At 40.1% G+C, this 15505-nt stretch overlaps 1 protein-coding gene across 13 annotated transcripts in view, besides 1 other annotated feature; it reads right to left on the bottom strand.

The window, feature by feature from the left end:
- The window catches only part of FMNL2 (formin like 2), a 314653-nt gene that overhangs the window by 137177 nt on the left and 161971 nt on the right, over positions 1 to 15505 (bottom strand). The gene's annotated exons all lie outside the window — the stretch shown is intronic.
- Positions 10883 to 11458: an enhancer, noted in NCBI's record as "OCT4-NANOG hESC enhancer chr2:153357706-153358281 (GRCh37/hg19 assembly coordinates)". NCBI's record gives its function as "activates a minimal SCP1, AML or CMV promoter by ChIP-STARR-seq in primed H9 embryonic stem cells {active_cell/tissue: H9 hESC(primed)}" and the evidence as "EXISTENCE:reporter gene assay evidence [ECO:0000049][PMID:30033119]".

The following is a 15505-nucleotide window of genomic DNA, read 5'->3' as shown; positions in this document are numbered from 1 at the left end:
CACACTGTTGCCATCCTTTTTAAATGCAAATAAACAGGAGTTCATTAAAAAAGGAGCTCACTATGTACATATTTATGTTTATGGTATTTATTTAATTGCAAGGCCAGATTATCATCAATACAGACCAAGCTAGGTGGGAGAGCCAATCTTGTCCACAGGACAAAAGGGTGCAGCTATAGCAGTCAAGGACAAGCTCTCCCGCAGCCCATCTTCCTACTACTCCCCATATCATTGGCTTAGTGATTCAACATCTAATAGATGGAAAAACCACACATCCCTCCTCTGGCCAAAGTGCCAGCCCCTAAAATACAGATTCCTATTGCATTTAAACACAAAGAGAATAATGGAAAGAATCACTCATGCAATTTTTTTCAAACTTCATGTCTGATTTTCATTAGAGGTCTGCTGTCTAACGATTCTTGACATGTTCTGGATTTCAAAGAACTCTTCACCTACTGTCTGCTAACTGCTGTGCCAGGAGCTGTGTCTGAATCCACACATTTGTGTGCTGAATGAGGGAGTTACACAAGAGGCCACACTTGAGATGCTAGAAAACTCCTTCATGGGCAATGATTAGACAACATGAGGCCAAATATATTAAGGTACTAGGCTTGCTGGCACAGACCAAAATGCATCGAAATCCAGAGAAAGTGTTCTTATTCTGCTGTTGAATGTCAACTTTCTATGTGATAAGATCTGAAGAGTAAACTCAATTTGATAACTGAAGATACCAAACTCAAATTGTAACATATTAGATATCAAGATTCTACCACAAGAAAGCCATGAGACTGCAGTCTGTATCACCTGCTGATCTGAAGCAGTATATAATTTCACCTGTCCCACTGCCCTGGAACCCTGGCCTCACTCTCCCCCAGCCCTTTCCCAGCAACATATCTGTAATTCCCTTCTCAGGACATTAAGATTATCGCTAGTCTCCCTCTTCTCTTTCACAGCAGTCACTCTGGAAACGATTACTGAACCTGGATTCTATACTCAAGCTTGGCCCAGGTTACAGCCTCATACTATTCAATCTTATGATGGGGATCACCAAAGGAGGAAAAGAGTTCAAGTTTATGTTCAACTAAGGTCACGTCTTCTGAAATAACAAGAGAAAGATTATGCTTTTGTCTTAAAAATGAATATTTTTGCCATAACCATGATCAAAATTATAGCCTCAAATTCATGGCTTCTCATTTGCAAACAGCTGCAACTTCAAAGGTAGACTTGCTGTCATAGGCAGAATAATGGCCCCCAAAGATTTCCTCATCTCTATCCCAGGAACCTGTGAATTTTCCTTACATATTAAAATGTGATTTGCAGATATGATTAAGAACCTTGCGATGGGAAGATTATCCTGGATTACCTTGGTGGGAACCAGTTATAATCACAGGGTCCTTAAAAGTGAAAGAGTAATTTCAAAAGGTGGGGGCGGAATAAGTGTTGGCAGGGATTTGGAAAAACTGGTACCTTTGTTTATTGTTATTGGGAATATAAAATGGTACACCTACTATGGAAATCAGTGTGGTGGTTCCTGAAAATGTTGACCACACACTCAACAGAGGACCCTACATTTCTGCAATGAGGTATATATACAAAGGAATTAAAAACAGAGACTCAGATACCTGAAGTTATGATGTCCTAAGATTAAATTACCAAAAAAATTAAAAATAAAACTATCAACTCATGAAGGAGCCATGTTCTGAAGTAAAGTTCTGCCCTATCCAAACACACAGTAACACTGAGACAACTTAAGGTTTCACCACAACACGTGTTTATCAGTCTTGATGGTCTCATTTCCAGAAACCCACAGTGTCTCTCCAGACAAGCCCAGCCAAGATAGGCAGGAAAGCTGGAAAGTCTTGCGTGGCAGGCCTTCTGGTGTATGACAAGTGGATTAATTTTTCTGCTCTTAGTTTTCTCCTTCTTTGCACTCCTTTAGCCTGCCACTTAGCTTTTGGCTCTCACCCCTCGTGGTAGCGGAAAAGACCATGAAGTAAGTGTTTGCATCTGTGTGTACGACATCCTGGTATTAAAGTAATACTTTAACGTTGCTGGTATTTTTATGGTCAACACCAACAATCAACAAGTTAATTCACACATAATGTCTAAGGGAACACTTTCATAATTTTTTAAACTGCTAAACTCCTTAAGATGTCATAAAAATAGAAGAATTCCCAAAACAACTGACATAAGAGCAACTCAACAACATCAAGATCTTTTTGAGGGGACCACCAATCACATTCTATTTTACTGACTTCTCTTTCTATCCTTACAAAACTCCAAGTCCCTGGAAGGAAAAATAATTTGTTAGTCCTCTTTACAGCCACAGTACCCCAATAAAGTATCTTGTATTCAGATGGTGCATAATTATTGTCTAACAGAATTCTGCTCAGCCAAACAAGCTGCATTTCAATAAACAAAAGGCATTCTGCTCCAAGATCTTTAATCTCCTTTTAAACAAATAAGTAATTAGGAACAGAAAAGCAAGTGTCAAATTTAGTCATTATCTATTTGTACGTGGTTGTTAAATATTATACAAATACTAACAGAGTTTACTTCAACTCTGTAAAGTTAAAAATATATATTTAAAAGCTCCAGATAGGCCGAGCATCATGGCTCATGCCTATAATCCCAGTACTTTGGAAGGCTAAGGTGGGAGGATCATTTGGGCCCAGGAGTTGGAGACCAGCCTGGGCAACATAGTGAGATCCCATCTCTACAAAGAGAAACTTTTTTAATTGGCCAGGTGTGGCTGCATGTGCTTATAGTCCCAGCTACTCAGGAGGCTGGGGCAGGAGGATCACTTGAGCCATGAGCTCGAGGCTGCATTGACCCATGATTGTGCCACTGCACTCCAGCCTGGGCAACAGAGGAAGACCCTCTCTCAAAAAAAAAAAAAAAAAAAAAAAAAAGGTCCAGAGTACAGATATACCTTCTCTTATACTCCAGGCCTGGACCTGACCTGCCTCTCCTACCATCCCACTCACCTTCTCTCCATCAAACTTACATCTCAACCCAAGACCTGAGTCTTCTATATACCATGTTTGGGGTGACCTTTTCTTTGTATTATCTCTAATAGCACTTGTTCAAGGGACCAAATGTGACCGTATTGGTTGCCATTTCACATGTGTACACTTTTTATCCAATGAGAGGGAAAGTTCTCTGGCATATTTGGATGCTTTCTATAATACTCAGAACATGGACAGATACACAATACACATCTAACAGTTATGAGTTGAGCAAAAAAAAAAAATCCCATAATAAAATTAATTCTGATGTGTGGTACATGGAAATTTAGAATTTATACATACAATGCACAACAACTATAACATTAAATAATAGATTATTTATTAAATATGGCTGAACTAAATCATATTATAAACAGGTACCCTTAGATACCTCAATAAGAAGTACCTCTTTCTTGTTGGGGCATAAGGTTTTCAATGTTTGTCTATTTGGAGATAAAAAGGTTCATGTGAAATAAAATCCATGTCATTTGAGTTATGCCTGGTTTTATATTCTCACACCACAGTGGTACATTCTAGGTGTAAAGTGCTACCCAAGTGTGTGGTCTGGTTTCAGCCTAAAACAAGGAAGCATGGTGACATGTGCACTGCATGCACCAAGCAAGGCAATAAGAAGAAAGCATTTTCCAGGGTGGGCGCACACCTACATTTACAGACAAAGAATTTCTGGGAAGCAGGCCCTAGAGTGTGCACTATTCCATTTTAAGTGCTGGACTTGGTTGTGGGCAAGAAAAAGGAAAAAGCAAGCATGCATGCAAGACAGAGATGAAAATGGGCGGGGGGTGGCAGGATGCAGAAATCTGACTGTATTGACCCTCTGTGCGTCTCAGCTGGGTAAACCACAACAGTAGGCCTGGGGGACACGACCCTGGCTGCTGAACTCAGTACACCCACTCAATATGTTCTGGATGTAAACACTTTTCTCTTTCCTACAAAGCAGTGTTATGCTTCTCCAAAAGAGCTACAAGGATTTGGAAGAATGCCAAAATACCACATTGACCATTCAATCTTTGCATTCTTACATTCTATAACAACTCCGCCCCCATCACTCAAGAGATGAACCATAGCTAACTCACATGAACCAATCTATCCTTCTGCAAATTACACCTCAAGTCCTAAGGAGCCCAGGGCTAATGCAACGCACTTCATCCAGTACCTAATGTTGCTTCCCACCCAAAGTGTTTGCCAACTTGAAGCATACCTCTGATTTAGATCTGTCTTCTTCCAGAGGGAAATGCAACTCCAAGTGCAAATGAATCCCTGTTTGATTATTAGGTTTTATAGAGAAGTGACAGGATCAAGAGATTCCTAATTTTCAACTTGAGAAACTACTTAGCACTTACACACCTCCCTAAACAAGCCTTTAAAATCTGATCCTCCACACACCATCCTATCTCGGGGGTCTGTCGTTTCAGCGTTGCTGCAGTGTTCCATCCCAGTCAGCTGCCCACTGACAAATAGGTCCATTCATTGTCTCTCTCTTCTATACATATATTTATAAATGATAAGCACAATATATTCTCTGTTATTGCACATGGTTGGGCAACAGGCACACTGTTTAATAGAGAGGTGCCACACATACCATGCATGATTTCTAAGTGAATACGATTTATCAAATTAACACAAAAGCCATATTATCGTAACTTAATCTTTCTTTAATGACTCTGAAATAACTCCAGAATTTTAGAAAACGTCTTCTGGTCATCACAATAAATTACAATTACAACCTTTGGAATTACTCATACCTGGGTTCAAATTCCAATTACTAGCTGTTCACTCTGGCAAGTAACTAAATTTCTCTGAGTCTCGGTGTTTCTATTTGAAAATGAGAACAAAAAGATCTCCCTGTTAGGACCACCACGAAACACAAAAAGTACCTATCAAAACAGTAGTAGACACATGGACGGTAGCACAGTGTCCACAGAAGAGGCTGTGGCTGCAGACAAAGATTCTAGTCTTCAGGTAAAATAAGAAAATTTAAGTTTATATCACAGAACTGAAACTACTTGCTCGATGTTCATAGGCAAATCACTTAAATTACTTGAACTTTAGTCTCCTCATCTGTAAAATAAGGACAGTATCTACTCCAAGCGGATTTCAGGAGGAGCCTGATAGAAGAAGCTTTATATAGCAGGATTGTTATGAAAATCAAAAAGAAAATGAGAGAACACATGCAAAGTGTTTCATCAAGCTCAGTGCCTGACATAAGTGTTCAATAAACTTTAGCTATTCAGTACCAGAATATGATACAACCTAATTCAAAGAAGGGAGGGGTAAAGTGCTGGAGCATCTTAGTTTCTTTAACATAATGGCTTTGAGAGCTTCTCACACACAGACATAAAAATTTCTGGTGCCATAAACACAATGGATGTTTAGCTAACAGCCAAATAATGAACTAAATAGAAATGTCTAGATCTGTGGTTCTCAAATTGAGTGCCAAGGCACCCCCAAGCACTACAGTGAAATGAATGGAAGCTATGGGATTATTTCCAAAGGAAGCAACAAGACTCAAAATCAGAGACCGCACAAGCCACTAGCCTGAGGTGGTTCAAGTTTCTACCCTGAGTCACGCAACATTTCCTTTCCATAACATCTTACCTTTGCGAAACTGTTTTTTTAGCAGTTGCTGTGATAAAAGCAAGTAACAAGAGAAAATGAAAACTGAACAGGAAAGGAAGTGTGTGCACAATCTGAATTCAACGTGTGAAAGCTGTGCAGTGCCCCATAGCTACACACATATTGATAAGTAATTATGCTTTTAGAAGAATAAAATGAGTTTTTTCCTCACAATTTATATGTAATATTTTCTCAAACAGCCACTAAATTAGTAGAACATAAATAGTTGTTTAGACCTAAGTACTTAATAAATGGAATGGTTAGGTTTTTCTTTTGGTCTAGGAGGCACCATGAAAATTTTTGAGACACTAAAGATGCTATGACTGAAAAAGTTTGGAAACCTCTAGTCTAGATACTATCTACCTCCACCCCCATCACACCTGATATTACTACTTTCCCGCAGCACAGTACATTTTCCGTGTCCATGGGTTCCACATCTGTGGATTCAACCAACCATGGATCAAAAATATTTGAAAAAAAATGCATCTGTACTGAACATGTACAGACTTTCTTGCCACTATTCGCTAAACAATATAGTATAACAACTATTTACATAACATTTATACTATATCAGGTATTATAAGTAATCTAGACATGATTTAAAGTATAAGGGAGGATATGCATAGGTTTTAGGCAAATACATTCTATCAGGGACTTGAGCATTCATTGATTTTGGTATCCATGGGGAGGGGGTCCCAGAATCAGTCCTCCATAGATACCAAGGAAAGACCATATTCTAAAATAAAAGGCCCTCTATGAAGAATTTTAATCTTAAGCTGCATATGAGAAATTATTAAAACAGTTGGACATTGATTTGAGAAATAAATGCACAAATTTTTCAACTAAAGAAATTTTTATCATAAAAACGAGATATTTCCCTAGGGGTTCCATGTAACCAGGCTATCACATAGTACGCAGCACCCTAGTTACCTTGGCAAATAAACTTCAATCTAGGTAAGTTTTTTTCACATGTAACTTCTAAAGAAATCTTTCAGACTAAACACGGTTTCAAAACCATTTGCTAGAACTTAGCTTTGTGATAGAGTACAAATCTAAAATGCCTGCTGTCCTGGCATAATTATTAACAATGCCCCCTTTCACTCGAAAAGTACTCCAATCTGGATGATCAATTATATGGCCGCCCTGATTTACAAGCCAATTACATGTTGAAGAAATCAAGGTATGAATGTCTGCTTGTATTACTAGCTAAGCAAGAACGAGAGGTGTGATTCTGGGTTTCAGTTTTTTAAATAACTCATTATCAGACACTCGAAGACACGGCTGGAGCCGGCTGGAGCCCGATGACCCTTAGTATCCTTCTTCTAACCCACAGTCCTGTGACTCTGAAGTCACAATGGGTAGACAGTGAATCAGCACATCTAGCTGCCAAAGCTACTGACGAATTAGGCTCTGTACCTTACAGATTTCATGCACGTTTTACTAAGTTGTTGATAACCTGTAATAATAAGCCAAGTAATGACTTGGGTTTCCTTATTTAAAGAAATAAGAAGAAATGAGTAAAGAAAATATTACAAGAAAAGCAATTCATTAATTCTAAATTCTCCTTTGTTCAATTGTAACAAATTTAATATTTCATTTTAAAATAGTCACAGTTGGAATTGTTTCTAATTCTATCCATTTTTTTCCTTGTAACTCAACCTGCCCTTAGATAAATTTTAATATCTTTCTTCATACAAAACAACATTTCTTACTCATTAACACTATATTTTTTCTTCCCAAGAAACCCAGTGGCTGGTTTTCACACTTGACTCTCTACTATTCCTTTCTCTAAAAATGGAAGGTGCAAAGATTTTCTTTCTCACAAAATCTCTCATGCTTCAGGGTTTAAAAAAAAAAATCTTCTGACTTAGTAAATATAGACTCTCAAAGAATGAGCAGACTCGTGTGTGACTTTTCATAACATACACAGGACAGAAATACTACAAATAACTTTAGATAAACAGAGGGAAATATCATGCAATATCCCTCTAACTTGATTTCTGAAGAACTGTGCTTTAAATGTGATGGCATTTCAAGACAAAATTAACTTGCTGGTTTCACCTTTGCTTTTCCTTACACGTCAGTATTTTCTACATTTAAGGCCTAAGATGAACATGAATGACAGCATTCACCTTCTAGAACTCTGAGTGTCTTCAGAGTATTAATACACAGATATGCACATTCCTAAGCCCCCGCCTGACAGTAATGATTCAGGAATTCTGAGATCTGGGCCCAGGAATCTACATCTCTTACAAGCCTCTGAGATGAGATCCGTATGTACATAATTTCTTAGGTCTACTGATAAACAAGTGCCTCAGTGCATAAGAGATAGAAGCTTACATTCAGTAAACAACCCATTTACTCATTTCTCAAAATTTTGAGCATGAATATATTAAAACACACACACACAATGAGATGCGGCTATGGAGAGACACTAAACAGGTTTTTAAGAAGCCTCCCTGCGGCTGAGCGCGGTGGCTCATGCCTGTAATCCCAGCACTTTGGGAGGCCGAAGCAGGCGGATCACGAAGTCAGGAATTCGAGACCAGCCTGACCAACATGGTGAAACCCCATCTCTACGAAAAATAAAAAAATTAGCCGGTCGTGGTGGTGCATGCCTGTAATCCCAGCTACTCAGGAGGCTGAGACAGGAGAATCTCTTGAACCTAGGAGGCAGAGGTTGCAGTGAGCCGAGATTGGCCTGGGCGACACAGCAAGACCCCGTCTCGAAGAAAAGAAAAAAAAAAAAGCCTCCCTGCATGTGGGTAGGAGTCATCTTAGCAAAGGACATACTGATTGTTCTTTTTTGTTATTGTTGAGCCAGAGTCTCGCTCTGTCGCACAGGCTGGAGTGCAGTGGCACGATCTTGGCTTGCTGCAACCTCCGCCTCCCATGTTCAAGCAATTCTCATGCCCCAACCTCCCGCGTAGCTGGGACTACAGGCGCGTGCCACCACGCCCGGCTAATTTTTGTATTTTTAGTAGAGAACGGAATTTTGTCATGTTGACCAGGCTGGTCTCAAACTCCTGATCTCAAGTGACCCACCCGCCTCGGCCTCCCAAAGCGCAGAGGTTACAAGCATGTGCTACAATGCCCAGCTTGATTGTTCTTCATTGTGGAATGTGTAAACAGTTCCCCCACCTGAAGCAAGGGTGGAAATGCAGTTGTGAGAGAACATCCTGGCTCTTGTCCTAACAATTTTTTTCCCCACTGCAATACCTTCCCCAAATTTGTCTGACCCTTAGTAAAGAACTCCCATCAGCTCACTCTTTTCTGCAGTTCCCTCCTTACCCAACTTAGAATCCATGGCCCAGGTAAATAATGTTCTTGATCTTGCACCAGTGTTTCTTGCTCCTCTAGCTGTCTTTTTAGCACAGCCCCCAACACACCCCCAAACCTAGACAAACTCACTGACCAGTGATATAGATTTTTTGCTTGACCAAACTTTAGTCAGGCTCCTTTACATTCTCCTACATCCGTGTATACACTTCCTTATAAAATCTGGTTTTGGCAAGAACTCTAAGTCAGTTTATCCAGAATTCCCCACCCTCTATGTCTAATCACCCCCACTAATTAATTGGGTTCCTCATCCTCTCCCATTCCCCAGATGGTATCTGATCACCCTGGCCTGCCTTCAACAAGAATCCTATAATAGGTCAGGATCACTTTAACCAGAATTCTCTCCCTTTCTTCCCCTACTTCACTCCTATAGCCCTGATGTTTCCTCCTAGTAATTTTCCATCCACTGACCTCCACTCCACTCCTTGGCTATAAATTCCTATTTGTCCATGCTCTGTTCAGAATTGAGCTCAATCTCTCTCCCTCACTGCAAAAATCCCACTGCAGTGGTCCCTACGCCTATCGTGATGGTACTAAATAAAGTCTGCCTTACCATCTTGAACGAGTGTCATGAGTAATTCCTCTTTAATACCATTTTGTCCCTCCTGATACAGAAGCACCTGAGACTGCAGAGAGTGCCATGCAACAGGAAGATCAGTCAACCACAGAGCACCAACTATCACTTGCCCGGAAAACATCTACCCTCAACACTGCCCAGGGAACATCTACCTTCTTCTGGTCAACCATTTACAATCTCTTCCAACCTCCAACCTCCATACCCTCTCCTTACCCCCTTCTCTCAATATAGCCTCACCCCTTGTATGTCATGAAGGAAATAAACCCCCTTATACAAGAACTCGCTCCCTTTCCTGCTACTAAACTCGCAAACCCACCATACTTCTGTACCTTCCTCTCCCACTCTCCGCACAATGAAATAAAGATGGTACTTATTTTGTTGTTTTTGGGTTTTCTGGGTTTTTTTGAGTCGGAGTCTTGCTCTGTTGCCCAGGCTGGAGTGCAGTGGCACGACCTTGACTCACTGCAATCTCTGCCTCCCAGGTTCAAGCAATTCTCGTGCCTCAGCCTCCTGAGTAGCTGACACTACAGATGCCTGCCATCACACCTGGCTAATTTTTGTATTTTTAGTAGAGACATGGTTTCACCATTTTGGCCAGGCTGGTCTCAGACTCCTGACCTCAGGTGATCCACCCACCTTGGCCTCCCAAAGTGCTGGAATTACAGGCATGAGCCACCACGCCCGGCCCAAAGGCGGTATTTTTTCCTATCTTGGAGACCATCCCTCTTATATTCTTCTCTCATAGACCATTGTGAAAAATAAATGTTATAACCTGTGTTTCACAAAGCACAGTTTCTGACACATTAAAAAGAATTCAATGAATAGACGCTGCTTTCACCATTAAGGTTTCCAACAGGGTTGTACCTAGTGGGTGCTCCAAGGATGAAAACAATCAATCCTATATTTGAATGGGAAGAGAGAATCAGATAAGCACATCCTCAAGCAAAACTCTGTTAGCGCCACCTCGCCCAAAATAACCCAAGTGTTTTCCACAAGAAGAACTTACCCTATAGACTCGCACGAAGAACAAGGGGTTAAAAAGTTAAGGCATCAACATTTTCTTGTTTTTGATTTAAAAACTACTCAAAGCTACTGTTAAATGACAGGGCATAACAGTGAAAACTAGGTTCCTTTCCATACTTGCTACCATGCAGTTACAGTTTCTCCTTCCGGAAACTATAACTTATGAAATTTAAATGAACTAGAACGTTTGGATCACATTCAAAGTGTACACTGGACCTTCTGCCAATATGTAAATCGCAGGGGGTTCACAGGACCCCATTAGAGAAACAGTACAGTATGGACTTTCACAAGATTCATTCTCATCATCGTCTTCCTTCTAAATGGAGTCTTGGCAATTAATTACTCAAAATTAAAAAAAAAAAAGTCACGCAAATTTACACAGATGGAAACAGAATATCTTTACTTGTTAAAGCCAGGAACACAATCAGGCTCTTTGCTCCCTTCTGTGTAAATATTCCTGAGACCCTCTCACCCAAAACCGTGGACATCCTGGGGGATTTTGCTTTCCAGCATCAGGGCAAGCTGGCTAGTTTGGTTTGGAGCCTCTGTACTGGCTGCTCATTGAAGATAAACTTAACAATTGAATAGAGCCTTCATTAGCATTTCCATCAACCCATTGGGAGCTCTCAATATCAGCTCATAAAGAATTATGCTTTTAAGTTACATGTCTTTTAGAAGAGTCAGATACATTTTCTGAGTTCCCTTTTGGGAAGGTCATCCTTCAAGTTCAACTGAATGCAGGTAAAAGCTAACCCTATCCCCGAGTCACTTTAGAAAAGCAATTACATTCTTACATCAACAATATAGCAAGGATAAAAATATCAAAATAAAGAGATAATCCTTAAATACATTTAGCTTTAAGGAAAGCATATTAGGTTGAGGACTCTATTTGGGAATTACTGGCCCACAGGGTTTGATTTCAGGGCATAAGGGCACAAAGAATTGTTTTTACTGCCTGTAAAACTTTTAAAACCGTCATGAAAAATGTGAAAGATTTCATAGAAGAATCAAAATTTTCATCTTCTCATGAAAATTTGGAAGCCCTCACAGCACCGGCCTGCCTTGCCAGTATGGGCTAAAGCCGAGTGGCGCCTGCCTCGGTCAGGGACTTAACTCACAGGCTTGCCAAGGTTCCACCACTCCCTTTTGTGTCAAATCCAGGCAGATTTTACAAATTTAAGAGACCTAACTGACTCCTGTAGACATCCGAGTTTTGATGCCTGGTTTTTTTGTTTGTTTTACCCAGGCTGGAGTGAAGTGGTGTGATCTCGGCTCACTGCAACCTCTGCCTCGCTGGGGTTCAAGTGATTCCCCTGCCTCAGTCTCCCGAGTAGCTAGAATTACAGGCACCCGCCACCACACCCAGCTAATTTTTGTATTTTTAGTAGAAACAGGGTTTCGCCATGTTGGCCAGGCTGGTCTAGAACTCCTGACCTCAGGTGATCCACCGACCTCGACCTCCAAGTGCTAGGATTACAGGCGTGAGCCATCGCACCCGGCTTGATGCTCATTTTAAGGCATTGTTAGGATACTGGGATATGGTAGAGGGTAGGGGATCTATTTGCTGCGGTTGACAGCTGTTGATTCTTTAGCTGAACGAATCTCAGGTGCTTCTAAGAAAAACGTTCTGAGCCGGTAGATGGCAGAGTTTTAATTAATCAGGTGCTGGGGGGCTAAGCAGAGAGGAGGAGGAGATAGAACACGACATTTTTCCCACCAATAAATTTTGCCTGGGATCAGTCCTGTTTTTCTTTCTGATGAATGTTGTGAAATGAACATCAGACTGATTTCTTAATCTAAGTGTATTTCAGAGGATGATTTAGTTCTCACCCTCCTGCTCTCTTGGTGGGGCAGAAATATCCAATGATTCTTACTGTGATTTGTCAATTTTCCCCTGGGTGTTGCCTATAACAACATGTTCTCTTCACAGATTCCCCCACCCAAGTTGTTCTGCTCTGAAGTCAGCACTAATTCACTGTTCTGCTTTCATTAACATCTGCGGGTGAGCTCTAATAAAGTAAACCCAGCATTGCTTCAGGGGTCAATGCTCTATCTCCAGACTGCAAAAGAGAAAGCAGACAGACTTCCTCCAGGCTAGAGGAAAAAGAGAAAGAAACTCAGAAGAATTATTTAGTGCATCCAGAGTCGGGTTTTAGCCAACACAGTACAACTTATTTCTCCATGAACCAGTATTAGGAAAACCAAAAGCACCAGATCATCAAAATCACAAAAACAAGAACTCAGTGTACTGCTAATATGTGCATAAATGAATGTATTTATATGGATCATACTTATTCTAGGCTTGTGCCACAGAATAGAATTTTGTTAGAATCCCAAGTCTGGAAGGCTGATGGTTGAGCCTGCCAACCATCTGCCAGCAGAAACCTATTCACACACAAGCTTTCTCATATAGCTTGGAACCGATTCAGTCCTAAAAGACACCTACCTTGAAAAAAGCCTACACTAAGCCTTGAGTGACCTATCACAAAGTTGGGAAATCGTTTCACGAATCAGGCCCTTTTTTTCACTTCTGTCTAGTCATTTCTTTGATTTAGATTTTAGGTGGCCTTGAATAACTAATAGTCATGAGTACAAGACCTTCCAGAGCTATGTTATATGAAATCCCCAACAGCAGCAATCACAACAACCCAAACACTCAGCTTCCTCCAAAAGCAACCAGCAAGAGGCCTGCAGAGAGAGGGAAGCCAGGCCTCAAGGCTGGAACTCTCAGGACTTTTGACCATCATCAGGAACATCACATCCAGGCAAATTCTGATTCATTCATTCCTTTGTGCCTTTCCTTTTTCTGAAGCCTCAACAGCTTTTTAGCTGTGAAGTTGGATGAGCTTAAAAGGAGGTTCGAAATATTGATCCTCTAGAATCTGCCTTCTCATCAACACTTTTCCACTGGGACTTTGACTCCCCAATCAGGCTTCACAGAAAACATAGCTGACCAAGCTCCCGGAGAAGAAAAGCTCTTTACTAACACTTGGTTCTTCTACGTTAAAATGCCATTGACCCCTCCCATCCTACTCAAGTTATAATTAACTAAGGGCCCCTTTGCCCTTCACGGTTATTGCCTTACAGAAAGATACATGAACCACATAGGCCCTTTATGTTTACAAAGATGCCAAATTCCTTCACTAATTAAGTTGAAGGGGGACTAATTCTGCCTCTTTCTGAAGTAGGAACCATTTGCCATGTTTTCAATAATGCACATGAATGGTGAGGTCTCTGAACATTCAGGTAAGTACATTTGTTTGTCTTCAGTTTTATTTTCCTTGATGATCTCCCAAATCTCAGTATTCTCAAGGTTTTAAAGAAAAAGGGTGGTGGTAGAGAGATTCCTGATATAAGACAGCAACAATATATGTTACACAAAAACATTATCGTCAGTAAAATCTGCCAGAAGATCGAAATGCAGAGCTGAAAGAACAATGTGACAATATTATATGTTGTGACAACATAGAAGTAATACGACTTAAACAAATAGAAGAAGGAAGAGTAAAACTGGAAATTTGACTGAGTTCATGGATTGGTGTACAGGAAATAGGTAAGGGTTCAAGAATATCCTTAAAAACTGACAACCCAGATAATATAAAGTTAAATAAGAAACCTGTGGCTGTGGGCATTTTTTTAAAAAAAATGGTAAAATACAAACATAACACTAGAACAGAAATTCAAACCCTAACTGCCAAAATTAGTATTTTTAATAAATTGAACAAAAACTCTACATCTCATGGAGAAAAAGCATAGACAATATAACAATACTTTTTCAAATTTTTGCACTTGGAGGCTATCTTGCAATTCTACCTATAGTATGCTACATGGTAAAAGGTGAATTTTAAGATAGCCTCCAAGATTCCTGCTTTCTGGGGCACATGTCATATATTATCATCTCCTCCTAACTGTAGATAGGTTATGAGTATGACATGACTTCACTCCCATGATTAGGTTACATTATATGGCAAAGGTGAAAGGGGATTATCCTGGGTGGGTCTGACCTTAAGAAGTATACCCTTTAAAGATAGTCTAGGGCTAGAGAAAATATTAGAAAAATCCAAAGCAGCAGAGCCACTACTAAGAGACAAACCAGGGAGAGGTCATGTGGGCAGCTTCTTGGAGATAAGGGCTTCAGTGCAACCACCGCAAGCAATGGAATTCTGCCAACAACCAGTTAGCTTGGAAAAGGACTCCCAAGCCTCAGATGATATCGAAACCCTGGCCAACACCTGAATTTCAGCCTGGTGAGTCTGAGCAGAAAAGCAGAAAACCCGACTAACCCATGTCCAAACTCCTGACCCACAGAAACTATGAGCTAATACATTTGTGTTGTTTTAAGCCACTAAGTTTGTGGCAATTTTTGTGCAACAACAAAAAATACCACCTTTCAAGTATAAAAAAAGGAAATAAGAAAATACAGTATGCATCTGCTGATGTGTGTAAAAAATATATATACAGGAAGGATAAACCAAGAAGTAATGAGATTATCTACAGAAAGAGGACAGGAATGAGTCAGAAAGAATGAGGAAGAAATGACACCTTCTGAGCATACTTTTCATGTATTTATAAGTCTTAGAACTGTGACAATATTTGACATCACCTAAAAATAAATAAAACCAACATGATTTTAATCAAAATGAAATAAGAGAACCTAATGTATTACAAATGAACAAAAGCACAAAGTAGGTAGAGAAGAACCTAAATAACTTTAGAAAACAGTACTCTATTCTAACACTAAAAACAAAAAAAAATGCACACAAATGTTACATTCTAGTTAGCAAATTTCTCGTGGGGTATGTGTTAGCATTCTGAAAACTACTATGTGTGTAGCTTAGAATTGCACAAATAAGTAAACACATTGTGGATAATGACAACCAGGTTTCTCACATTCAGATAAAAGAGTTACATATAAGGGGGAAAG

This window comes from Homo sapiens, chromosome 2 (genome assembly GCF_000001405.40).
Source record: "Homo sapiens chromosome 2, GRCh38.p14 Primary Assembly".
In the NCBI taxonomy this organism is placed as follows: Eukaryota; Metazoa; Chordata; class Mammalia; order Primates; family Hominidae; genus Homo; species Homo sapiens.
Note: the sequence above shows the minus strand (reverse complement) of the source record. Positions and strands in the feature narration are given on the sequence as shown.